The 25,445-nt window shown below is 41.5% G+C and overlaps 1 protein-coding gene and 1 long non-coding RNA gene across 11 annotated transcripts in view, besides 5 other annotated features; one reads left to right on the top strand and one right to left on the bottom strand.

Moving 5' to 3' along the window:
• The window catches only part of MAP3K5 (mitogen-activated protein kinase kinase kinase 5), a 236,046-nt gene that overhangs the window by 195,601 nt on the left and 15,000 nt on the right, over positions 1-25,445 (bottom strand). The window lies entirely within an intron of this gene.
• Positions 274-323: an enhancer, noted in NCBI's record as "active region_25118". NCBI's record gives its function as "activates an Ori minimal core promoter by ATAC-STARR-seq in GM12878 lymphoblastoid cells {active_cell/tissue: GM12878}" and the evidence as "EXISTENCE:reporter gene assay evidence [ECO:0000049][PMID:35858748]".
• LOC124901410 (uncharacterized) lies at positions 7,993-11,393 on the top strand. The gene is made up of 2 exons (XR_007059786.1): positions 7,993-9,599; positions 11,195-11,393. It is a non-coding gene; the product is annotated as an uncharacterized LOC124901410 (long non-coding RNA).
• Positions 10,974-11,023: an enhancer, noted in NCBI's record as "active region_25119". NCBI's record gives its function as "activates an Ori minimal core promoter by ATAC-STARR-seq in GM12878 lymphoblastoid cells {active_cell/tissue: GM12878}" and the evidence as "EXISTENCE:reporter gene assay evidence [ECO:0000049][PMID:35858748]".
• Positions 11,304-11,413: an enhancer, noted in NCBI's record as "active region_25120". NCBI's record gives its function as "activates an Ori minimal core promoter by ATAC-STARR-seq in GM12878 lymphoblastoid cells {active_cell/tissue: GM12878}" and the evidence as "EXISTENCE:reporter gene assay evidence [ECO:0000049][PMID:35858748]".
• Positions 12,084-12,133: an enhancer, noted in NCBI's record as "active region_25121". NCBI's record gives its function as "activates an Ori minimal core promoter by ATAC-STARR-seq in GM12878 lymphoblastoid cells {active_cell/tissue: GM12878}" and the evidence as "EXISTENCE:reporter gene assay evidence [ECO:0000049][PMID:35858748]".
• Positions 20,405-20,699: a silencer, noted in NCBI's record as "tiled region #8718; K562 Repressive non-DNase unmatched - State 6:EnhF". NCBI's record gives its function as "represses a minimal TATA promoter and a strong SV40 promoter by Sharpr-MPRA in K562 cells {active_cell/tissue: K562}" and the evidence as "EXISTENCE:reporter gene assay evidence [ECO:0000049][PMID:27701403]".

Raw genomic sequence — 25,445 nt, forward strand, 5'->3', positions numbered from 1 at the left:
GGTGATCCGCCCTCCTCGGCCTCCCAGAGTGCTGGGATTATGGGTGTGAGCCACTGGGCCCAGCCTTTAGCTGGGTTCTGAGTGTGACTTTACTCCAGGAAGAAGATGAAGGGCACTCCAGATAAAGGCAGTTATGCAAAAGCACAGAGCTGTGAAAGGGCAGAAGTTCAGCGTGGCTGGGACAATGGCTGGAGGGGAAAGAGAAAGGGGTCAGGCTGCAAGTGCAAAGGTCAGCTTTTAGAAGGCAGACTCTGCTCCCTCTGCCTGGTACATGCTCATCCCAGATCTCTGCATGGCTCCTTCACACCACTCAGGCCTGGTTACCAACACCACCACCCCATAGTTCTTGCCCACATGCCCCACCCCCAAATTTATAATCCCTAGCTCTAGCCTACCTCTGTGCCCTCCAACACTTTCTCTTTCCTTCCTGGTACTTATCCCAACAGGAACCCACTATTAATTTATTTATCTGCCTGTTTATTGGGTGACATTTTTCTAACACACACTTTAGGACCCACAGATGCATAAAAAAAGAATGTCTACACTTTAAGTACTTTTGTTTTTAACATGGGAAGACTGTATTTAAATACATCTGAGTTGTCAGTCCATTAAAACAATAATAGGCCTTTACTGCTTTTTTTTCAAGTGAACACAGGAATTCCCGACTTTCTTTTACCACAAAAGTATACGAACCTAGCATTAGGCAGCAACATGGTGTTGATGAAAACACCTTTTTTGGTACAGCATGCAGAATGGTAAGGATGGGGCATGAATCTCTCTTGGCCTTGCCAAGTTATAAATTATAGAAAGGGAAATTCTGTGGCAGCAAGGGAACATCACCACAGATAGTATTTTTTTTTTTCCGGAATCTAAAAGGACCAGAAAGCATTTTGATAATCTTGTTAAAATACTTTAAAAAGGCATGGTATTAAATTGATGGACTCTAAATTACCTGAAAATTAATTATTCTTGGGTCAGGTGAAAAAGTATCCACTGAATGCTTATTCACTCTCCACAAATATTCCATCATGTCTCATTCAGGCATTTGTACTAGGTCTGAGTGAAATACAAAGATGAATCAGACCTCAGGTAGCTTATCATCATAAATAATGCTAAGGCCTGTCTGAAAGCCCCAAATACCACAAGACAGGCAAAGAGGATGCACTTGAGGGTAGATGGTGCTTCAGCACAAGGAGAACAGCAGCGTCAGGCAGGGCTTTGAAGTAAAGGGAGAACGCAGCCCTGCTGAAGTGACGAGCGCATTTCAGGTAGATGCGGGAAACTGAAAGGTGCTAGTGAGAAGCAGCAAGTTCAGTTTGGTGGAAGAGGAGTACTAGAAAATCCGAGGCTGGGTGCAGTGGCTCACGCCTGTAATCCAGCACTTTGGGAGGCTGACACAGAGAATCGCTTGAGTCCAGGAGTTCAACACCAGTCTGGGCAGCATGATGAAACCCCATCTCTACTAAAAATACAAAAATTACCTGGGCCTGGTGGCGGGCGCCTGTAATCCCAGCTATTCAGGAGGCTAAGGCAGGAGAATCACTTGAACCTGGGAGGCAGACGTTGCAGTGAGCCAAGATTGTGCCACTGCTCCCCAGCCTGGGAGACAGAGCAAGACTCGATAAAAAAAAAAAAGAAAAGAAAATCCCAGGCTGGGTGCAGTGGCTCACACCTGTAATCCAGCACTTTGGGAAGCTGACATGGGGGAACTGCTTGACCCCAGGAATTCAACACCAGCCTGGGCAACATGGTGAAACCCTGTTTCTACTGAAAATACAAGAAATTTGCCAGATGTGGTGGCACATGTCTATAGTCCTAGCTACTCGGAAGGCTGAGGCGGGTGGAACACTTGAGCTGGGGAGGTCGAGGCCTGCAGCAAGTGATGATGGCATGCACCACTGCACTCCAGCCTGGGCAACAGAGAGAGACCGCTCTCAAAAAAAAAAAAGAAAGAAAGAAAAGAAAATCCTGTTTGAAGGTGGATTATAGGGCTCCCCCACCCTATGCTTAATCTGCAGAAAAGGGAGATTGATCAAAGGTTTTGCATGGGCACAGTAAGATGTCCAGAAGAATGCTTCGGGAAGAACAGGACACCCACATGCTGGACTAGAGAGGAGCAAATCTGCAGAGGATGCCTCAATGGAGGTCCTCGGCAGCCTAGGGAAGAATGATGTCAGTGCAGATGGAACAGAGGAAACGGGGCTGAGGCACGTTCCTGGGGTCCACTGACAAGATCTCGATGCTTCAGATGTTGGGGAAACCATTATTCTATTCACGCAGTTGCCCATTCCAGAAATATGAGGTTGTCGTCTCCTCCTCAATCCACTGAATCATGAAGTCCCATCAATTCTACTTCCTGCTGAGTCCATTTACTCCTCTCTATCTATATGGCCCATCTGGTCTCCTAACGCATGCAACTCCACTCCATTCGCAACACAAAATTCATGTTGATCTTTTTAAAAATGCTAAGCTGATAATGGCATTCTCTTACATGAAAAAAAAACCTTTAATGGCTCAGAAAGAGGCTGAAAACCCTTCACTTTAGTCTCTAATGCCCTGCTTAGCTGTGTTCCTGCCTCCCTCTCCAGCCGCATCCAGCTCCTCTCTGCTCCCTGGCTTCCTCCTAGATCCTCATGCACAACTCAGCTCTTCCCTGTTTCCGCCACCCCAAGAAATGCTCCTCACTCTTCACCTAGGCCCTCAGACACAGGGTCTCCTCTCCCAGCCCTCTAAACTTCCCTTTGAGCACATAATTTGTAATTCAATAGCTGGAAAGCAGCCATGGTGCAGTGGCTCATGCCTGTAGTCCTAGCACTTTGGGAGGCCCAGGCAGGAGGACCGCCTGAGCCCAGGAGTTCAAGATCAGCCTGGGCAACATAGTGAGACTCCGACTCTTCAAAAAATATAATAAAATGAAATAATTAGCTGGGCATGGTGGCACACGCCTGTGGTCACAGCTAAGAGCCTGGGAGGTCAAGGCTGCAGTGAGCCATGATCTTGCTACCACACTCCAGCCTGGGTGACAGAGCAAGACTCTGTCTCCAAAAAAAAAAAAAAAAAAAAGTTAAAGTTGAAAAGCTACTTTTTAATGACAATTTCCCTAGACAAGTGCCCTCTGCTCCAGGCTAACCGTAACCATACAGGCTAGAATAGTATCTTGTATACAGAAGGCACTCATTAGATGAACAGATGAATAAGAAGCAAGGAGTCAAAGATGACACTGAGGTTTCTAGTCAGGGTGACTAGAGAGAAAACACTATCACTGGTAAGCAAAGGGGTGTAAGTTAAAAGGAAAAAATTATGACATTAAAATTGGAAGTTGAAAAATATGTTCAGCAGATTGATGGAAAAGTAGAAATGGAGCTAAGGAGAGAAGAATGGGCTAGAAATATGTACTTGAAAGTCACTGTCACACTTTGGGAGGCCAAAATGGGCAGATCGCTTGAGCCCAGGAGTTCAAGACGAGCCTAGGCAACATGGCAAAACCCCGCCTCTACAGAAAAAAAAAAAACACTACAAAAATAAGCCAGGCATGGTGGTGCATGCCTGTAGTCCTAGCTACTGGAGAGACTGAGGTGAGAGGATCACTTAAGCCTGGTAGGCAGACGTTGCAGTGAGCTGAGATGGTACCTCTGCACTCCAAACTGCATGACAGAGCCAGACCTGTCTCAAAAAAACAAAATGCAGGTCACTTTCATTGAGCTGGGCATGGATGCTATACAGCTAAGTCAGAGTGCAATGAAATGATCTCTCTGAATATGTCTTTCCAACTAGACTAGAAGCTCCTTAAGGGTATTGCCTTTTTGTTGCTGTTGTTGTTGAGACAGTCTCTCTCACTGTCGCCCAGGCTGGAGTGCAGTGGCGCAATCTCGGCTCACTGCAACCTCCGCCTCCCTGCAACCTCCGCCTCCCGGAAGGGTATTGCCTGTGTTGTACTCATCTCTTTATCATAAGTGTCCTAAATAATGAAAGAACAATTCTTCAAGAGAAAAGGAGTGGTCAGCCCCTTTACCCTCCTGTCAAGGAAAATTAAGCCTGAAGGTCATACTATTGGATGCTTAAAGGCCCTGCCGATTCATCACAAGACAGTTTCCACAAACTGATGGGAGAGAGACACTTGCAAGGCTTAGGTGAGTAACATGAGTCACTTTTTCTAGATTATCAGAGCATTGTCAGCACTGAGGGGCTGATGGCCCGGTGCATGTGGATAAGGTCTCCTTTTCCTCTTCCATCTCATTAGGAAGACTGACCCCAAGACTCCAAGAGACACTTTCTCAAGTGTGCATAGGCTTTCTCTTCAGAACCACACGAAGCTCAGAAGCAAAGCTCATTTTGGCTTTCCAGTATCTCTATGGTTTTCCAGCAAATCAAGGTGAACACCCGAGAAAACTCAGGTTTCAGTGCTGCAGTAGAAATCGATAGGAAGACTTTGGCCTGCTTTGGTTCTAGACCATTCAAGTCATCTAGCCCAGGGAAGGTGTCGTAGGGTTCCAGCCTGGCTCACCAGAGTTTTATGCTGGGACGTGGGGCAAGAGCCACGTGCAATAATCAAGAGATGCTTTGCCTTGGTTTATTTTCTGACTACATACCTACCTCTAGGACTTTTCAAGAAAATAAGTTCCAGGGAAAGATTGTGGTATTCCTTAGCAACCCAGCCAAATACAACTATAACAGCATCTCAGTTTCAACACAGTTTACAGGAAGTAAGAGAGTCAGGGCTGGGTCTTTGGAGAAATAAGCTCAAGGGAGATGTTTCTGTGTTGGGAAGCAAGAATTTATGAGCTGTCTGTCTAGTCAGATAGCATCACAGATTTGTAAATAATGTTCATAATAATTAGCAAGATTCCTTTCTATTACTGTGTTTACCAATTGGAAATATGAGAAGATCAACAGACATTAATCAGAGAACTCATTTTATAGATTTATTTATTTATTTTTTATTTTTTTTTTTTTTTTTTGAGACGGAGTTTCGCTCTTGCTGCCCAGGCTGGAGTGCAGTAGCGCAATCTTGGCTCACTGCAACCTCCACCTCCTGGTTCAAGCGATTCTCCTACCTCAGCCTCACAAGTAGCTGGGATTACAGGCATGCGCCACCACACCCAGCTATTTTTTGTTTTTAGTAGAGATGGGGTTTCACCTTGTTGGTCAGGCTGGTCTGGAACTCCTGATCTCAGATGATCCACCTGCCTCGGCCTCCCAAAATGCTGGATTCCAGGCATGAGCCACTGTGCCCAGCCTCATTTTATAGATCTTAGAGGCTTCTTTTCATAACTGAAATATCTGAATATATTTTAGGGAACACAAAAATAAAACCATTTAAAGTGGCAAAGTGGTAATAGGAGAGTTATATAAAAGTATTAGAACTAAATAGCCTTTCTGTAAATAATTAAAACTTATTTTAATACCAGCACCCAATGCACAACTTTTGCTAAAATATTGAGAGTACATTAGGCACTTTGGTAATTTAGGAACAAATGCTATTTTGATTTTACTTTCTCTTAGATACACTGCAGATCAATGTCATCATGTCATACTAAAATTTAAGGTTCAACAATCTTCATGCCTTTTAAAAGTAATCTTCTTTGCCCTGCAAATTTGTTCTTATATAATATTTTAGAGCACTAAAAAAAATTACATAACAAAGCCTTGCAGTTTTTCATTTTTATTATTTTGACTAATTTTTATCCTTTAAGATGTTCCCATGATAGAATTTTTAGTCTCATAACTTTACATATGATGAAAACTGAACGAAAATGACAACAGTCTCTGAATTTACACTGCATTTATACCTCTCAAGAGACATTCTTCCAGGACTTCAAATTCATAAATATATCTTTCGTTTCCCATTTTTTTAAAAAAGCCATGGGCCTTGCCCACCCCCTCAACCACTTTCAAGTGGCATGCCAAATCATTTTTGCAGTGTGGGCAGTCAATCCAGATCTAGATTCTTAGACTTCAGAAGCAAATCCTCTTTACCCCTCCTTTACCTATGGATTAGAAAAATCAATAAAAGAGACTAGCAGGAAGCAAATGACAAATTCATAAGTGAAGACTCTGTTTATACTTTAATAATTTACAAGGAATCAATTATTAGGTATCAGTGTATTCTGCCTTGATTAAAACTGTTAGTCTATCCAAGAAAATAAAAATGTATTTTGAGTTTTTGCACATCTTACATTCACAGTAGGAATCCTGTTTCTGCCTATGTTTCTATGAGTCAAACCTGTATTAAATATAGACTTTTGGCCAGGCATGGCGGCTCACGCCTGTAATCCCAGCCCTTTGGGAGGCCGAGGCAGGCAGATCACTTGAGGCCAGAAGTTTGCGACCAGCCTGGCCAACATGGTGAAGCTCTGTTTCTATCAAAAATACAAAAAAGTAGCCAGGTGTGGTGGCAGGCACCTGTAATCCCTACTCAGGAGGCTGAGGCACAAGAATCACTTGAACCTGGGAGGTGAAGGTTGCAGTGAGCCAAGATTACGCCACTGTACTCCAGTCTGGGCAACAGAGTGAGATTGTCTAAAAAAAATAAAATAAAAGAATAGACTTTTGAAAGTAAAATGTTACTCTATATAGCCTTACTTATTCATTCAAAAAATATTTATTGACTAAGTATTATGTGCCTGAACATAGGCTGAACAATACAGGCAAAGACGAACAAGAAGTTGATTCATGAATGTACCATGTTCCTATAAAGATAAAAAGGCAAAAGTCAGTAACAAAAACCCACATTGTAACCTAAGAATAATATGATCCTGAGAAAATCTTCAAAGAAGAAAGCTTCCTAAAATAACCTTTATACTAAAACTATATATATATATATATATATATATATAAAGTTTGAGACAGAGTATCACTCTGTCACCCAGGCTGGAGTGTAGTGGCACAATCACAGCTCACTGCAACCTCTACATCCTAGGCTCGAGCGATCCTCCCACCTCAGCCTCCTGAATAGCTGGGACTACAGGCATACACCACCACATCCAGCTAATTTTTTCTATTTTTTGTAGAAACGAGGTTTTTGCCATATTGCCCAGGCTCATCCCAAACTCCTGGGCTCAAGCGATCTGCTCACCTCAGGATTATAGGTGTGAGCTACCGCACCCAGCCCTCTATTTTTTTTTTTTTTTTTTTTTGGAGCAACATGGCTGTTTATTTCACCTGGGTGCAGGTGGGCTGAGTCTGAAAAAAGAGTCAGCAAGGGTGGTGGGATTATCATTAGTTCTTATAGGTTTTGGGATAGGCGGTGGAGTTAAGAGCAATGTTTTGGGGGCAGTGGGTGGATCTCACAAAGTGCATTCTCAAGGGACCCAGCCCTCTATTTTCAAAGAATAGGTTCTATCTAATATTATCATGGTAAATATCCATATTAGTTTAAGAGAGAAATGAAAATAATTTTTGAATCCTGTTCTTACAGACATCAAAGAAAGCAGGACAGAATGCACATTGCACTATTCAATTTGTTGATTTGTCCTCTGTCATCTTGTGGAGAGTGATAGAGTATTTTTTAATTTCTTCAATTAGGATAGTCCAATTGCAATAAGGTGGCATAAACATGCTGTCTCATGCTTAAATAGTAAAGACTAGTCAGCAGTCAGTTATATATATAATTGTCACCAGTCTACAATTTTTTTTCCTTATAGAAACAACAAACATAAGGCCATTTAGTACTAGTAAATCCTATCATAAATCTCAAGGCACATGCCATCTTATATATTAATTAGCTCTCTCTTTGGGCCATAACAACTAAAAGAAAAGGCAAAAGATTTTCTAAATAAAGCTCTTACATGAGGTATTATTTATGAAAATGATCAAGTCCTTAATTCACATATATTCAGTGAATGTAATTAATGGTATTATTTGTTAATTTATTGATTCAATAAATACTACTAAGGTCTCATTTTTGTGTTCCCTAAAATCCATATGTTGAAATCCTCACCCCCCAAGGTGATAATATTACGAGGTGAGGGCTTTGGGAAGTGATTAGGTTAGGAGGGTGGAACCCTCATGAATGGGATTAGTGCCCTTATAAAACACTCCAGGCCAGGCACTGTGGCTCACGCCTGTAATCCCAGCACTTTGGGAGGCTGAGGTGGGTGGACCATCTGAGGTCAGGAGTTCCAGACCAGGCTGGTCAATGTGTCGAAACCCTGTCTCTACTGAACATAGAAAAATTAGCCAGGCATGGTGGCACAGGCCTGTAATCCCAGCTACTCGAGAGGCTGAGGCATGAGAATGGCTTGAGCTGGGAGGCAGATGTTGCAGTGAGCTGAGATTGCACCACTGCACTCCAGCCTGGGTGACAGAGCAAGACTCTGTCTCAAAACAAAACGAAACAAAACAAAAAACCAGAGAGAAGCTCCAGAGAGGAGAGATCCCTCTCCTTTTTTGCCCCATGCGATAACAGAGAAAAGACAGCTATTTATGAGGAAGTGGGCCCTCACAAACACTGAATCTGCTGGTGCCTTGATCATGCACCTTCTAGCTTCCACAACTGTGAGAAAATACATTGCTGATGTTTATATGCCACCTCGCTTATGGGAGATTATGGCAGCCAGAACTGAATAGGACAAATACTTGTAGAGCACCTATTACATGTGAGCACTACGGGCACAAGAATAAAGAAAATAGACCCTAACTTTAAAAAAAAAAAAAAAAAAACGAACAGTCAGCCAGGAGGCTGGCCACTAAAATGCAAGAGTGCATGCAGCAGGCACTGTGGGAAGACAGAAGAGTAGATCCCAGGTGTCTGGGCAGGGCTGTGTGGAGGACAGAAGGTTCTCAGAGCTGTCCTGCAGGATGCCACGCAGCCTGGGAAGAAGCCAGGAGCCTGGGGGAATTGTTCTCGCATCCCAAATCAGTGGTTCCAGCAACTGTCAACACAATAAAACTACAGAACTTGAAAGGGGAAAATGGGAAAATAAGCACAGAAGGACAGATGTGCACCAGGGTGAGGAGATCCCAACCTCTTTATTAGAGAAAAGACCGGCAACCCTGCGGCTGGGGCTGGTCACAGAAAGGGGGCCTTGTGAGAGGGGCTGCGATGAGGCAGATGGATGCCAAACCTCAAAAGGCTTTGCTGCTGTGCTAGCAAATTTAGTTTCCTCCCACAGCTGGTCAGGAGCCCAGTGAACTCTAAGCAGGAAACTGCACTGATCAGAAGATAATTTCATAGTAACTACTCCGACAGCACAGAGAAGCGATGGAGAAGGAAGGGAAGAAGGGAAAGCCACTGAATGGCCCACTTGAGACCAGAAAAGGTCAAAAGTTTGAGGCAGATATAACGCATTTGGGGAGGACTGGGCATTCTCCTAACCAGACAGCAATCCTGCCGAAAATTAAAATGAGTAGAGCGTCTGTTCACCAACCAAATATTAGAAAAAGGAAACAACATAATCTTGAAATGAACTCTGCAGCCTTTTAAAATTTAAAATCCATGACCCTACAGAAAGTTATGCAAATATTTTTTGTTTCTAATTTTAGCAGAGAACAACACTGTCAGTCTGGAGTAAGTGACAAAAATAAGAAAGGGAAGTCTATCCTGATGCCCAGCCAGGGAAAAATGGGAAGAAAGAGAAGAGAAGAGAAGAGACAGAGAGGTAAATGGGAAGGGAGAGGGTATGGGAATGAGCACACAGAAAACAGAGCTCCTGACTTTGTACGGTTAAAGCTGTAAATGTTTTGTTCACCAAGTAGAGGAATCCATGCTTTTTCCAAATATAGACAGTACATTTGATAGGATACACAGCCAAGAGCTGTCTGCCCATGCTTGCACATGACCCTCAGGTGTTCCATGGACAAAGATTAGGGAGAGAGGGTGGCTCATGTGCCTCAACTGGTTCAGCAATGGGCAGCATCAGAAATAAGACAGTGAGTGTGTGAGGGTAAGGGGGGAAGAGAGCTTAGTTCAAGAAAAGTATAAAAAGAAAAATAAACTCCTAGTTGAGTTTCTAAAGCCAAGTGGAATTAAACAGGGTAAAGCACCGAGGGAAATTATACCAGGGAAAGTACACTTCCTGTCCTCTGTCTTTATCTGGAAACTATAATGCTTGCTGCAAGCTCCTCTAGGGACAGGCAGGTTGCAGGTGAATTAAAGCAGTCCACAAACCACATGCCAATGTCTGCATTGCCCCTGGGGAAAGTCCTCTCCCCCTTCCTCCTCCCAGTCTCCTGGAGGTTTCTAGCACCATTGCTACCCTTGTACTCTCTGTGAATCCACCCCTTCATTGCCTTGCCCTCTTCACAGCTAGAGAATAAAAATGGCAAATGCTGCCTATTTCCAAGGCTGCAATGAAATAATACATACCGGATGCATGTTAGCATTATGTATCTTTTATTTACTTTATATTATTTACTTATTCATTTATTTTGAGACAGGCTCTCACTCAGTCACCCAGGCTGGAGTGCAGTGGCACAGATCACTGCAACCTCCACCTCCCAGGCTCAAGCCGTCCTCCCACCTCAGCCTCTCAAATAGCTGGGACCACAGGTGCACGCCACCATGCCCAGCTAATTTTTTCATTTTTTTGTAGAGACGGGGCATCACTATGTTGCCCAGGCTGGTCTCAAACTCCTGGTGTATCTTTTTAAAAGGTAACCATCTCTGTTTTCCTGCATAACTAGTCATCTAAGATGAAGTCTTGGATGAGTAAACAGGATTTTTACAAGATTGTTCATTGCCTTCTCTACTTCAAACATCAGCAGGGTAGATCTTTAGCTGTCTTGTCTCTGTTCAACCATTTAATCTCAATATGCCCAAAGATGTGGGGAAACAGGTCAGTTTACAAGCATATGCTCTTCTGACTGGTTAGCAAAAAGTCTCAGGTGCAGTATTCTGACAGTGTGTTTTCTACCCACCCTATCTATAGAAACTGAAAATTTACAGAGGGAAAAAAAAGTTTTCACGCAAAGCTTATTCTTGCTGAATCTATTCAGGTACCTTCTATTTTGAATTTCAATTGCTACTTTTTCAAAATCTGATGACTGTTCTCAAGGCCTCAGTTTCCCTCTATGACTTGGCTATCTGATGGATGCAAAACAGGCACAGAGCTACTGCTGTGGTTTGAACAGTTGTCCCCTCCAAGTGTCATGGTGAAATTTAATCTCCAATATGGGCGTATTGAGAGGTGGGGCCTCTAGGAGGTGACTGGGTCATGATGGCTCTGCTCTCATGAATGGATTAATCCATTAACAGGTTATCGCAGGAGTGGGACTGGTGACTAAAGAGGAAATGAGACCTAAGCTAGCCTCCTTGCCATGTGATACTCTGCACCACCTTGAGACTCTGCAGAGAGTACCCACCAACAAGGAAGCTCTCACCAGATGCGCCCCCTTGACCTTGGACTTCTCCACCTCCAGAACAGTACAAAATAAATTTCATTTCTCATAAATTACTCAGTTTCAGAAATCCTGTTTAAGCAACAGAAAATGGACTAAGCTACTGCCCTGCTGATCAGCCAGCCACCTGTACATGTGCACACCCAGATGACATATGCAAGAATGTTCAGACCATGGTAGATGTTTCCAAAGATGGCCCCCATCAAGTCCTTACCCCTGTGCATGCATATGCCCCTTCTCCCATTCAGTTACCCCCCTTCCCTTGAGACTGAGTTGGTGCTGTAACTGCTTTTACCAATAGGATGCAGACAAAAATAATGTTCTGAGAATTTCGAGATCAAAACCTAACAGACTGATAGCTTCCATGTCCTTCTTCTTGGAACATTCACTCATAGAATGCTCCCTCTCAGAACACAGATACCATGAGAGAAGTCCAACCGGGTCATGTGGAGAGGCCACATGGAAAAGAACTGAGGCCCAACAGCCCACACCACCTTCCAGTCATGGGAATGAACCTTATTGGATGTTCCAGCTTTGTCAAACCCCCAGATGGCTTCAGACCCAACCAAGTTTATGTGAAACAGAAGAGTCACACAGCTGAACCCACTCAACCCACTAAATTGTGAGAGATAATAACAGGTTGTTGTTTGAAGCCACTACACTTTTTTGTGGTTATGCCGCAACAGAAAAATGAAACGCAGACCTCTCAAAATCACAAGTCCACACTGTGAATATATAAATTTTAGCAAAGCACCCACTATAGGCCTGCTTCTTTAATATATATTTTCTCAGTTAATGCTCAAAACTATGCTAAGACATCAGCTTTCTCATGGCAGAGAGATTATGTAAGAGGCAGAACTGAAACTCAAGGCACACTTCCTGGCCCTAATTGATGTGTTTGTCTCACTGCATCTCAGAAGCTGGGACAAGTGACTCTGCGGGGTCAATTCTCAGCTCTCTGAACATGTATCTGCTTTGGGGATCAGTATTACCATGTGTGTTTTCAGGATCATGCTCTTCTATCATGTAGCCACCAATGTGCGGCAATGGAGAACTTTTTATACAGTATCCTAACAAAAATTAGGAAGTCATCATTAGATTCCCCCAATCAAATGTATAAGACAGTACAGAAACATAATAAAAGCACATCTAAAAGCCTCTTGGTAGATTCATGCATCAGATAAGATGATGGGTTATACAAACTCTGAAGTCCTTTTTCTTCCAGCAATCTATGACCTGCCAAGCGCTGTGCATAATTCCTTACGTGCATGATCTCATTTAACTTTCTCAATAAGCCTATACTTATAAAGCAGAAACTGTTTTCTTTAGAGGTCTTTGGGGTCTTACTCTGTTACCCTGCTTGGTATGCAGTGTGCAAACACAGCTCACTTTAACCTCAAACTCCTACACTCAGGACATCCTCCCACCTCCACCTCCTGAGTAACTGGAACTACAGGCAAACACCACCGTGAGCAGCTAATTTAACTTATTTATGTATTTATTTTTTATTTGTTTATTTTTATCTTTTTTTATTTTTTTATTTTTTTGAGACAGAGTCTCGCTCTGTCGCCCAGGCTGGAATACAGTGGCGCCATCTCGGCTCACTGCAACCTCCACCTCTTGGGTTCAAGCAAATCTCCTGCCTCAGCCTCCCAAGTAGCTGGGATTACAAGTGCCCACCACCATGCCTGGCTAATTTTTTTTTTTTTTTTTTTTTTGTATTTTTAGTAGAGACAGGGTTTCACCATGTTGACCAGGCTGGTCTCGAACTCCTGACCTCAGGTGATCTGCCCGCCTCCACCTCCCAAAGTGCTGGGATTACAGGTGTGAGCCACTTTGCCCGGCAGTAACTGCTTTTATCTCCACCTTATAGATGAGAAAACTAAGGCTTAGAGAAGCAAGAACACAGAAATAGTAAGTGGCAGAGCCAAGATTAAACACCACAGGTCTCCCAGATCCACAGTCTAAATTTTGTCATAAAATATACAGTTTCCATTCCTGCACTAGGAACATAATTTGTGGACTTGCTTGGATTATACATATTCCAAGAAATTGTCCCAACTCCCAAAGAGCCATCCCAGCTGCACCACAGGTCATGAGGTGTGCAAGAATCTATCTGGTACAGCATAAAACCATGGAAGCTGCAGGTAAAGCCAGAACCCAAGCCAACTTCCACTTCCCACCCTGGGGAGAAGTTGGAGACTGAGTGTATAAACACTAAGCCTACAAATCTGCACCAACTGTTCTATGGAATAAACTTCTGAATTGCAGCTCTAGTTTATCTTTCAGAACAAGGCCAAGCAATAACTCCGTAAAGAAATGCCTACAAGGATGACCTCTGGAAACACTTCATAATTTAAAAACCAGAATAGCTGGGCACCACTGATCCCACAGCCAAGTAGGTCAAGGCTGTGGCCCCTGCCAGTTCTACAAATTCATATCTGCTTTATCTGAATTCATTCAGGGTCATGAATAGAAGGGTAGGTTATCTGAAGTTCTGACGTCTTCCCTTCATTACCAGACATACCAGCCAACAACTGGGTTTTAGGGTACTGAGTACAAGGACATCTGGCTCAACAAAACTGAACAAGTCAGAATTTGCGGTTGGGAACAGAGGTCATTAAAGGATTTACACAGCAAAGAGCATGTCAGTGTGATCTCCAAATTTAAGGTAACATTTCAGAGAAGGTTTCATATCAGATCAACATAAAACCAATTTAAATCTATAATAAACTCCATTTCTTCATCTTGTATCTTAATGCTAAAATGTACTCTGCAAAACACAGGATGCTAAACTATGCACCCTGGATATATTCACAGATAGGAATTACTTCCAGAAAGAGCATGAACTAGTAAGCATATTACAGGAAAATTAATTTTTATAAGTTTTTTTCTTACAAAAATCAGAGTCTTTACACAGTATCCTAACAAAAATTAGGAAGTTTCATTAGATTTCCACTATCAAATTTACAAGGCAATATAGAAACATAGTAAAAGCACATTTAAAAGCCACTTGGTAGATTTATGCATTAGATAAGGTGATAAATTATATGACCTCTAAAGTTCTATTTCATATATGTATATATATTTGCATAAGAAACTAAATCACAAAGGACAAGTTTATCTCTATAATAAATCTTTCAAAAAATATTCTGACTTTCCACACTGAAATATTTAAGTTTTAGGTAAGAGGTAGATAAGGTAAGTGGTGATTCTCATTTATTTCAAAGCCAGAGTCTACTAACACCCATAATTCATAAGCACTAAACCCACGGGAAAGAGGGAAGGAAGACAACATAAAGGAGGGAAGGAGCAAAGAAATAAAGGAGAGAGAATAGAAAGGAAGGAAGAAAAGAAAGGAAGGAGAAAGAAGGGAGGAAGGAGGAGGGAGGGGACTAAAGGAAGGGAGGGGTGAGGAAGGAGGAAGGAAGAGAGGAGGGCAGGGAGGGAAAACCACCCACCGCTGGGCTGTGATAAATGACAATAAATCCCAAAACCCTGAAAACCTGAAAACTGCAATCTACAATTCACTGATCAGTTCAGTAGTCACTAGGTAAGAAGCAAAACTTGAGTCCAGCTGTCATGAAAATCAAGAAATGTAAATGAAACAAAAAGGAAAAAAAAATGTCATGACAAAAGAAAGAATATCGGGGACAGTTAAAAATAGGAGGAAGATCTAACTGCCTTTTTTGCAGAAATTAACAAGCCTAAAATTCATATGGAAATACAAGGTAACCAAAATAGCCTAAACAGTCTTGAAAAAGAAGAAAGCTGGAGGCCTCACACTTCCTGATTTCACAACTTTTTACAAAGCAAAAGTAATCAAGACTATGTGGTACTGGCATAAGGACAAAAACATAGATCAATGGAAATCAAATGGAGACTATGGGAATAAACTCACACATTTATGGTCAATTGATTTTTTACAAGGGTGATACGAAAATCCAATGGCGCTAAGAAAATCCAATGGCAAAAGAATGGTGTTTTCAACAAATGATGCTGGGACAATTAGATATCCACATGCAAAAGAATGAAGCTGGCCCCCTAACTCACATGATAGATAAAAATTAACTCAAAATGGAGCAATGACCTAACTGTAAGAGCAAAAATATCTAACTCTTAGAAGAAAACATAGGTGTAAATCTCTGTGACATTGAATTGGGCAATGCTTTCTTACGTAAGACAACGAAAGCACAAACAACAAAAGAAAAAACAGATAAATACGGACTTCATCCAAATTAAAACATTTTGTGCTTCAAAAGACATTATCAAGAAAATGAAAAACAACCCACAAGATGATAGAAAATATTTGCAAATCATATATTTGATAAGGGGCTTGTATCCAGAATAGATACAGACTATTACAACTCAGGAATAAAATGACCAATTTAAAAATAAGCAAAGAATCTGAACGGACAGTTCTCCAAAGATATACAAATGGCCAACAAACACATGAACAGAGGTCAACACCATTAGTCATTAGGTAAATGCAAATCAAAACCACAGTAAGGTACCACTTCACATCCACTAGGATGGCTTAATAAAAGACAAGATAATAACAAGCACTGGTGAAGATGTTGAGAAACTGGAACCTTCATTCATTGTTGGTACGACAAAATGGTACAGCCACTTTAGAAAATGGCTTGGTGGCCAGGCATGGTGGCTCACGCCTGTAATCCCAGCACTTTGGGAGGCCAAGGTGGGTGTATCACTTGAGGTCAGGGGTTCGAGACCAGCTTAGACAACTTGCTGAAACCCCATCTCTCCTAAAAATTCAAAAGTAGCCAGGCATGGTGGCAGGTGCCTGTAATCCCAGCTACTTGGGAGGCTAAAGCAGGAGAATCGCTTGAACCCAGGAGACGGAGGTTGCAGTGAGCCAAGATCGTGCCACTGCACTCCAGCCTGGGTGACAGACACAGTGAAACTCCATGTCAAAAAAAAAAAAAGAAAGAAAATGGCTTGGTGATTCCTCAAAAAGTTCAGCATTGAATTACCGTATGACCCAGCAATTCCACTCCTAGATATATACTTAAGCAAGCTGAAATCATGTCCACCCAAAAACTTGACATGGATATTCATGGTTTATTCATGACAGTCAAAAAGTGGAAACAATCCAAAGGTCCATCAGCTGATGAATGGATAAACAAAAGGTGTTCAAGCACCATACAACAGGATAGTATTCAGCCAGAAAAGTGAATGAAGTACAGATCCCTGCTACAACATGGATGAAGCACGAAAGCATTATGCTAAGTGAAAGAAGCCAGTCACAAAATGCCACATATTGTATGATTCCACTTCTAAGAAATACCTAGAATAGGCAAATTTACGGAGACAGCAGATTAGTGGTTGCCAAAGGCTGGGTGAAGGGAGATATGGGGAGCAACAGCAAATTGGTACAGGGTTTATTTTTGAGGTGCCAAAAATGTTTTGGAATTAGATATTGGTGATGGTTGCACACTTTATGAGTCTACTGAAAACCACCAAATTGTACACAGTACTTTAAAATGGTTACTTTTATGGTCTATAAGTTATCTCTCAATTTTTAAAATAAATTTAAAAATAGAAGAGAGAAGTATACAGAAGTGGGTTAGGGGTAACAGTAAACAGAAAAACAAATAGGAGAGGGAAGAGGGAAGCCCACCAGCACTGAGTATTCAATGGGCAGGCTCCATATCACATTCACTTTTTATCCCTAACGTCTGGCACTGGCACACAAGGCTGACCCAACCAATGTGCACTGAAGGAAGGGAGGAAGGGAAGGAAGGAAGGAAGGAAGGAAGGAAGGAAGGAAGGAAGGAAGGAAGGAAGGAAGGGAGGGAGGGAGGGAGGGGACGGGAGGGAGGGAGGGAAGGGAGGGAGGGAGGGAGGGAGGGGAAGGGGAAGTGGAAGTGGAGAGAAGGGAAGGGAAAGGAAGGAGAAAGGGAGGGAGGGAAGGAGGAAGAGAAAAAGAGACAGTGGGAGGAAGGAAGGAAAAGGTGAAGTTTAAAATAGACAGCTACTATATACATCAGTAAGTCCTATGCTACACTAACAGTGACTAAAAGACTGCTACTCAGTTTGCCTCTTCCTGCAATGGAAGGGGAGACCATGTTCAAAATAGGTTTCAAAATATTTGGCTTTATAATGGCCTCCCTTTTTATTTTTATTTATTTTTATTTTTTGAGACAGAGACCATGTTTATTTTTTTGAGACCATGTTGGGGCATCTCTCCCCTAATGGATGGACTGAGGCATATGGTAAAAGGGAACTCTAAGCCCCTTTCACAAATTATATTACAGTATAATACAATACATACAGAACAGTGCACTGTTTATAATAGCAATTCTGGGCAAAGTAGAAAAGGTTAAATTATCTTCAGTATAATCCTTAAAAGCAAGGGAAAAGATTTTTCATACAAATAACTGATATATTTCAGACCATGCCATGACCAAATACTATGTGTTATTTAAAGAAATGTTAAGTTTATAAATTTCACTTAGCCCAAAAATTGTTTCTTCTCATCAATCATAGTACATTTCAATACAGACGTATTACTTTTCCTATATCATACAACAAAATAAATTCAAAATGGAGGTAAGAGTCAAGTGTAAAAATAAAATATATTAAACTTTATAGAATAAAATATAGGCCAGATGCAGTGGCTCACGCCTGTAATCCCAGTACTTTGGAAGGTTGAGGCAGAAGGATTGCCTGAGCCCAGAAATTCGAGGCCGCAGTGAGCTATGAAGGCACCACTGTACTCCAGCCTGGGCAACACAGCAAGACTTTGTCTCTCAAAATAATGAAATAAAACACAAATGAATACTTCTCGGATATATGTATGAAGCAAGAATCTGCACTTAAAAGGGATAATTTTGACTAATTAAAAAATCTGTCAGGAATTCACACAAAAATTATCATAAACATAAAACTGAGGAAAAATATAATAAATTTTTAAAAACAAAGGGATAATATTCTTAATATGTATACAACTCCTTATTATATTAAAGGAATCTAAAGCACATTTCTGGTTTTAAACACTAGATGTCATTTAATGTGATGTTAGGAACTAGACATGGAAACCAATTTCTGTATGAAAGTACGTTTGAGGCTCCTGTGGGCCAGCCAGCAGGTATGGAGAGTAGAGCAGATGCTTAACCTACAGCTCTGAGGTCTGGGCTACAAATATGAATTAGGGAGTCATCCGATACTCAAAAAGGCATTTTCTTCATTTCACATGAACCAAAGGAATGAAACCTAGCTGATTTCCCCCTACTGCAAACAGACAACTTACTACACTAATCTCATTATTATTATTATCATTATTATTGCTGTCATCAAAAAGCACTCTGTACTGAGGTAGAAGTCAGGACTTGACTCCAGAGGTGGGGCTTGGACACCGGACCAGATTGAGGACTAGCTAAAACAAAGCCAGAGCAGAAGCAGCTGTCAACAACAAAATGACATGCCCACCAGTGTGCCATGTCAATTTACTGTTGCCATAGCAATACCAGGGAGTTACCACCCCTTTCCATGGCAATGACCTAGTGACCCAAAAGTTACTACCCTTTCCTGAGAAATTTCTGCAAAAACAACCCCTTAATCTGCATGCAATTAAAAGTAGGTATAAATATGACTGCAAAGCTGCCCTGAGCTACTACTCTCTGCCTACTGGGTAGGCGTGCTCTGAAGAAGCAGTCACAGAGCTGTAACACTGCCTCTTCAATAAAGCTGTTTTCTTCTACCTCTGGCTTGCCCTTGAATTCTTTCCTGGGCAAAGCCAAGAACCCTCATGGGCTAAGCTCCACTTTGGGTCTCGCCTACCCTGCAGCAGCTCTATCTCAACAACCCGATATTTTAAAATATGTTCTTTTTTGAAAATCCATGTTTCCAACCTGAGAGCTGATTTTCAAAATAGGTTTTCAAAATATTTGGCTTTATAATGGTCTCCCTTTTTATTTTTTTTTTATTTTTTGAGACACAGTCTTGCTCCATCACTCAGGCTGGAGTGCAGTGGCTCACTGCAACCTCTGCTTCCCAGGTTCAAGCGATTCTCCTGCCTCAGCCTCCCAACTAGCTGGGACTACAGGCGTGTGCCACCACGCCCAATTAATTTTTGTATTTTTTAGTAGAAATGGGGGGGGGGGGTTTACCATGTTGGCCAGGCTGGTCTCGAACTCCCAACCTCAGGTGATCTGCGCCCCTCGGCCTCCCAAAGTCCTGGGATTACAGGCGTGAGCCACCACACCCAGCCTGTGGTCTCCCATTATTTTGAGGGGGGGGGAGACCTTAGTCCCTAGTAAAGTAATTCTCTAGCATATTAAGTATATGAAATGTTTCTATGCAAATGTGTTCCTTCCTACCCTACTGTGGTAAGCATGGCACAGAAGACCCTGTAGAAGATATCATCAGAAACAGCAGTCAATACTGTGCACCTCTCTGTATACAGATAAGGCAGAAGGGAGTTCATTCCAAGATGTGCAGTAAAATAATTCAGAAAAGGATGGTTGGGGGCAGTGGCGGGGGGCTTCTTTTTGAAATGAATGAACAGACAATGAAAATGAATGAATGCACATACAGTAGTGAGACAATGCAGGTTAATCCAGGGTTTACTTCAGTAATCTACTGACAGCAGCCCTCCACTGAGGAGGGGTTAGGAAGCTTAAGATGAAGAAAACCTAAAAATCAAGCCGAGTTTTGAAAAAATGTTAACTGTTTCCACTGTAAGTTTACAAAGTAAGGTGGCAAACTGAGCAAAATAAATCTCATTTTTAAAAATGAATCATGTTCACTGTTATGCAGCCAGCATTATGAGCAATTAAGTGTTTCAAGTGGTTGAGAAAACAAGAAAGGCGTTTCAGGTTCCAGTTCCTATTCTTGAGCTTTCAAAAGCCTGTGAAATCTGGCCATTGGGGACAGATGCATGGAAGACTTAACTGGCCTGAGAGATGGGCACTTTCCCTTCCTGAAGAAGTCCTACACCTCTGTAAATTGGGTTCAAGCCAGTCAAGAATTCTCAACTTAAGCTGTATCAGTGTGAATTCAAATTTCTCTAAGTTAAGAGATTCTCGGAAGGAAAAACAACTCTATTTTCAGTCAATTAAAATTAGCAAGAAAACAAGTACATTTACAAAGGGTCATGCTCCAGAAGTTATTCTCATAAGAAAGTGGTTGGGAATTTGCCTTCCACATTCCCATGGAAACCCTGTTAAATAACACCTGAGCCCACAAAGGCCTACTGACCTCATCCCATCTGAGGCATGAATACCAGCAGCCAGGCCACGTGCCTTACCTTGGGAGTAGCCTGCACCGCTTCCAGAGACTGCCTTCTCTCTGCTTTCCTCGTGAACACATTTCTTTAAATAACACTCCCTGTTACATGCCTTCTGTTGTTCTCCAGAAATCAGTCAAGTCACCGTACCTGACATCTACCACCACCTGCTTTCCTGAAACTGCTCTGGCAAAGTTATCAGGGGTTTTCTGATCTCCAAGTCCAGTTATTTCTCTGAAACATTCAACTTCACTGACCTTCGGACAAGCCCTCTTTGCATTGCTTTTAGAGCTAATCCCTTCTCTCTCTCCCTCTCTGAACTTTCTCTCATCTGTTGTGCCATCTTACCATCTTCCCTTTCTCACTAGATGATGCCTTCCTTTGCCCATTTTTTGTTGTTGTTGTTGTTGGTTGGTTCGTTGGTTGTTTTCTGAGACAGAGTCTGGCTGTTTCACCCAGGCTGGAGTGCAGTGGTACGATCTCAGCTCACTGCAGCCTCTGCCTCCTGGGTTCAAGTGATTCTCATGCCTAAGCCTCCCAAGTAACTGGGACCACAGGCGGGTGCCACCACACCCAGCTAATTTTTCTATTTTTAGTAAAGATGGGGTTTCTCCACGTTGGCCAGGCTGGTCTCAAACACCTGGTCTCAAACATCAGGTGATCTGCCTGCCTCAGCCTCCCAAAGTGCTGGGATTACATTACAGGCATGAGTCACCATGCCCCGCCGTCCATCTTTAAATGCCAGTGTTTCCTTAGTTCTATCATAGGCCTTCTCTTTATCCTACCCCTTCCTTATGGAGAGACTCATTTTTTCCATGATTTATTATAAAATGCCTGGCACATGTTAAGTGCTCAATAAATGTTAGCTTTCATCATTATCCTTCAAAACCCAGTTCAAATGTCACCTCCTGTCCAATGTCTTAGCCAACCTCCTCCACACTTCCTTCTCCTCCTGAAGAATCCTCCATGATTTGTGCTCTCAAAGAACCTTACATAAACCTCTAGTATAACAATTAGCACCAGCCTAGGCAACATGGCAAAACCCCATCTCTACAAAAAAAGAATTAAAAAATTAGCCAGCATGGTGGCACACACCTGTGATCCCAGCTACTCAGAAGGCTGAAGTGGGAGGATCGCCTGAGCCCAAGGAGGTTACGGCTGCAGTGAGCTGTGATCGCACCACTGCACTCCAGCCTGGGTGACAGAGTGACTCAGTCTCAAATTTTTTAAAAAACAACAACAACAAACAATTAGCACAATATATATAATACGTTCATAGGCTGGTCTCCCTTACCAGACTGTGAGCCGCTCCAGGAAAGGGATGACATCATTGAATTGTATTCTACAAACATCATTAAGTGTCATCTACAGGTCACACACTGATACAGAAGACCTGGGGCATGTCAAGAACCATAAAATGTGATCTTTGTCATTAACTCACACTTAAGCAGAAAAAGCAGACATCAAAACCAATAACTAAAACACCACTGGGGGGAAAGTGTGATATTCATTCAATCAATCAATCTGTATCAAGTGCCAAGCACTCCATTAGGTACTAGAGGTGCAGGGTTAACAAGACAGAAAAAGAGACATGGAACTATATTCTAATGATTCTTTAAAAAACCAGAAACTGCTCCTTGTTTGTCAGATGTTTCTAACAAAAGGTTTTTCATTATTGTGTAAATTGGACTTGACTTTTTCAGTTGTTCCTTCTTAGTCATATCACGTATGATGCAAGACCTATGGAGCAACAGCTTTCTTTATATCTCCCAAAGAATCAAGCATGATTTGAATACTGAATCCTTAAAGCAAATCAAAATTTATTTAACAGCCTTCAGAGGTCATTTCAAGAGGGAATAGATAGGGCTGCTAACAGAAATATGAATTAAAAAAAAATTCAGATCTTAGAGAATAAAAATAGAAGGATAAATAGTTCCAAGATTATTCATACCTTAAAAGAAAAAGAATGCTAAGGTCAAGCTTATAAGCAACTAGGCAATGTGCTGGATTCAGGAAGAAATTTACCTGGTGACCACATATTAGGTATAGATTATGGCTCAAAAGTTGGGTAATACTTTTTGCTGTGGCTAAATGGGACAATGACAAGTCTTGAAAAAATAATTCTCATAGACTAAATATTAAGTCATTAGAAGCTTGTAACCTAGTCCAGGTCTCAAATTAGGCTTTCGGCACGTAGACCAGGTAACTGAAAACTGAAAGCAGATGAGAGTCTCGAATTCTCCTGTCATAGCCTTTTTCTTCTTCTATGCTCTCAGAAAACCTCCTCATATTAAATGTGGCATATCCTCTGGCACAGAACTCTTTGGGTAACATGCACCTAACTCCCCTGATAATAAACCATGGAGAATAACCCAAAGAACATACAGTGTGAAAACAGAAAAATCATGATTGCTTCATACATCCACTCCTGCAAACTTAGTCCAATGTGTCTAATGATGTTTTTAGAGGAACATACAAGCCTATTAAATAGTTGTGGCCTGGGAAAACTAAGGCATGGCAATATACAAATACCACAGTGCAATTTTGCTTGAAAATTCTCAAGCGATGTCACAACACGGTGGCAACAGCTTTTGTGTGTACAATGCATTCCCTTCTGGGATCACTTGAAGATGAGATCTGGCCCTTCTTGGGCTACTTCAAATTAGAAGTTAACTTGCCTGCAAACAGGTAATGATAAGAAGATCCAATCCTGAATAATCAAGAGATTATCCATCAAGAAGAGTGTTCATTATTTAACATGATAAAAACCTATTTCGTTAATAAAACCTACACTAAGTGGAGAGTCCTGAGTTCTATGAAGCTTGGAAATTGTGAGGCTGTACTTTCTCATTACTTATGTATATTTCACCCAGCAGTGAAAATGTCTCTTCAGGTAAACCAAGGAGATACATCAATATCTTAATTTTAGTTCCAAGTGTATACACGATTCGTCTAAAGTAGAAGAGTGTCACTTGTATGCTATTATGGTTTTGGGGTTGTCTTTTATTTTTTATTTATTTATTTATTTTTGAGACAGGACATTGCTGTCACCCAGGCTGGAGTGCAGTGGCGCAATTATGGCTCACTGCAGCCTCTGCCTCTCTGGCTCAAAGTGATCCTCCCACCTCAGCCTCCTGAGTAGCTGGGACTACAGGTGTGTACCACCACAACCAGCAAATTTTTATATTTTTTGTAAAGAAGAGGTCTCACCACGTTGCCCATTCTAGTCTTGAACTCTTGTGCTCAAGCGATCCACCAGCTTCTGCCTCCCAAAGTGCTGGGATTATAGGCATGAGCCACTGCACCTGGCTGCTATTAAGGTTTAATCTTCTTAAAGATTTCACAAATGGGCACCAAATGAGCCACAGGTGAGGATGTTATAAATTTAACCGTAATACTCCTGGAAGGTTACTTAAGCTCAAACCTCCAACACCGACAAATTCTTTAGCTTGGAGTTGTCTCCCTTTTGCCTGCCCTCTGTTGCCCTTTATTTGAATATATGCTGAACGGATTGGTAAGACTAACACAATGGTCCTGTAAGTTAAATGGTAATCAAGTCAAAATTGTAAGTGACTGCAAAGATTTCTTAATGCTGACAGCCCTTACTTTTAGACTTTGGAAATACAGACAACGCAGATCTGCAAAATGACATTCTAATCATCACGGCAGGATCGGTCCTTGGGTAACCCACTCATATGTCATATTTAATGGCTAAATGAGTTTTCTATACTACTGGTTTTATAAGGGAAAGAAGAGTCTGGAACTCTCTTAACAGTCTAGGATAGTATTTCTTTTCCAATTTTATTTCAGATTTACCAACTGCCAAGTGTACTTCAAACACATAAAATATTGGTAGCACTGAGTTGCTCAGCAAGAAAAGTCAAGCCAACTATTCTTGTCATAACTCATGTGCAAGCTACAACCTTGTTCTCTTTCACTAGGTCAAGCCAAGCAACTTGTGCCCCAACCCTGCTTTGCAATAATATACACACGCTAAGAGATATATCAGTTTTTAAAACCAGACTCCAGGCTCCTCTAGAGTATCTACAAATCTTTTTCTTATTCAAATTCTATGTATACAGTAAACACTGGGTCACTGTATCTGGGAAACTGACCAGGAGGTGTTTTGTTGTTTAATTTTTTGAGACAGGGTCTCCGTTTGCCCAGGCTAAAGTGCAGTGGTGCAATTGCAGCTCACTGCAGCCTGAAAAATTAAAATCCTACTGTCCATATTTGAAACCCGAATTTTCCCTGGATCAACCAAAGCTAGTTTCCCAAGACCAATTTCCTAAAAATCTAGGAGATGTCATGGAAGAACTAACGCACATCAACTGTATGTATGTGACTCAAAAACAATCAGAAATGTTACATAAATGTTTAAAAAAGAAATGTTATATAAAGTATACATTCATTAATGTGACTTAGAACCTTCAGAGGTAGCCCAGATTTCTCCATTAGAACATGTTTTATGTATATCAAATTACAGATATGGTTCTGCATTGACAACGCATCTACTACATCTGCCTTTATTATCTAAAGGAACCTGGTTTGTTTATTTTCTATTCTTATTCTGGCCCAGCCTTCGAATGCTTGGCATTCAGGTTGACAATTTTCTGTCAGCCAAGAACCACACACTCCACATCATCAACAAGCAAGCAACACAATTTTATTATGTAACACGGGTGAGAAAAATACCAAATTGAAATTATGTTGTTGGCATATTTTAATTATCTAAAACAACCTAGATTTTTTCACAAGCTGAAAAGATTAATACAAAGGACTTCAAATTCCACTACTAGGAAAATAATATATTTTTTAAAAGGTTCTAAATCTCAGGCAATAACTCTTATTTGTTTCC

The sequence above is a fragment of the Homo sapiens genome, chromosome 6 (assembly GCF_000001405.40).
Source record: "Homo sapiens chromosome 6, GRCh38.p14 Primary Assembly".
Taxonomy (NCBI): Eukaryota; Metazoa; Chordata; class Mammalia; order Primates; family Hominidae; genus Homo; species Homo sapiens.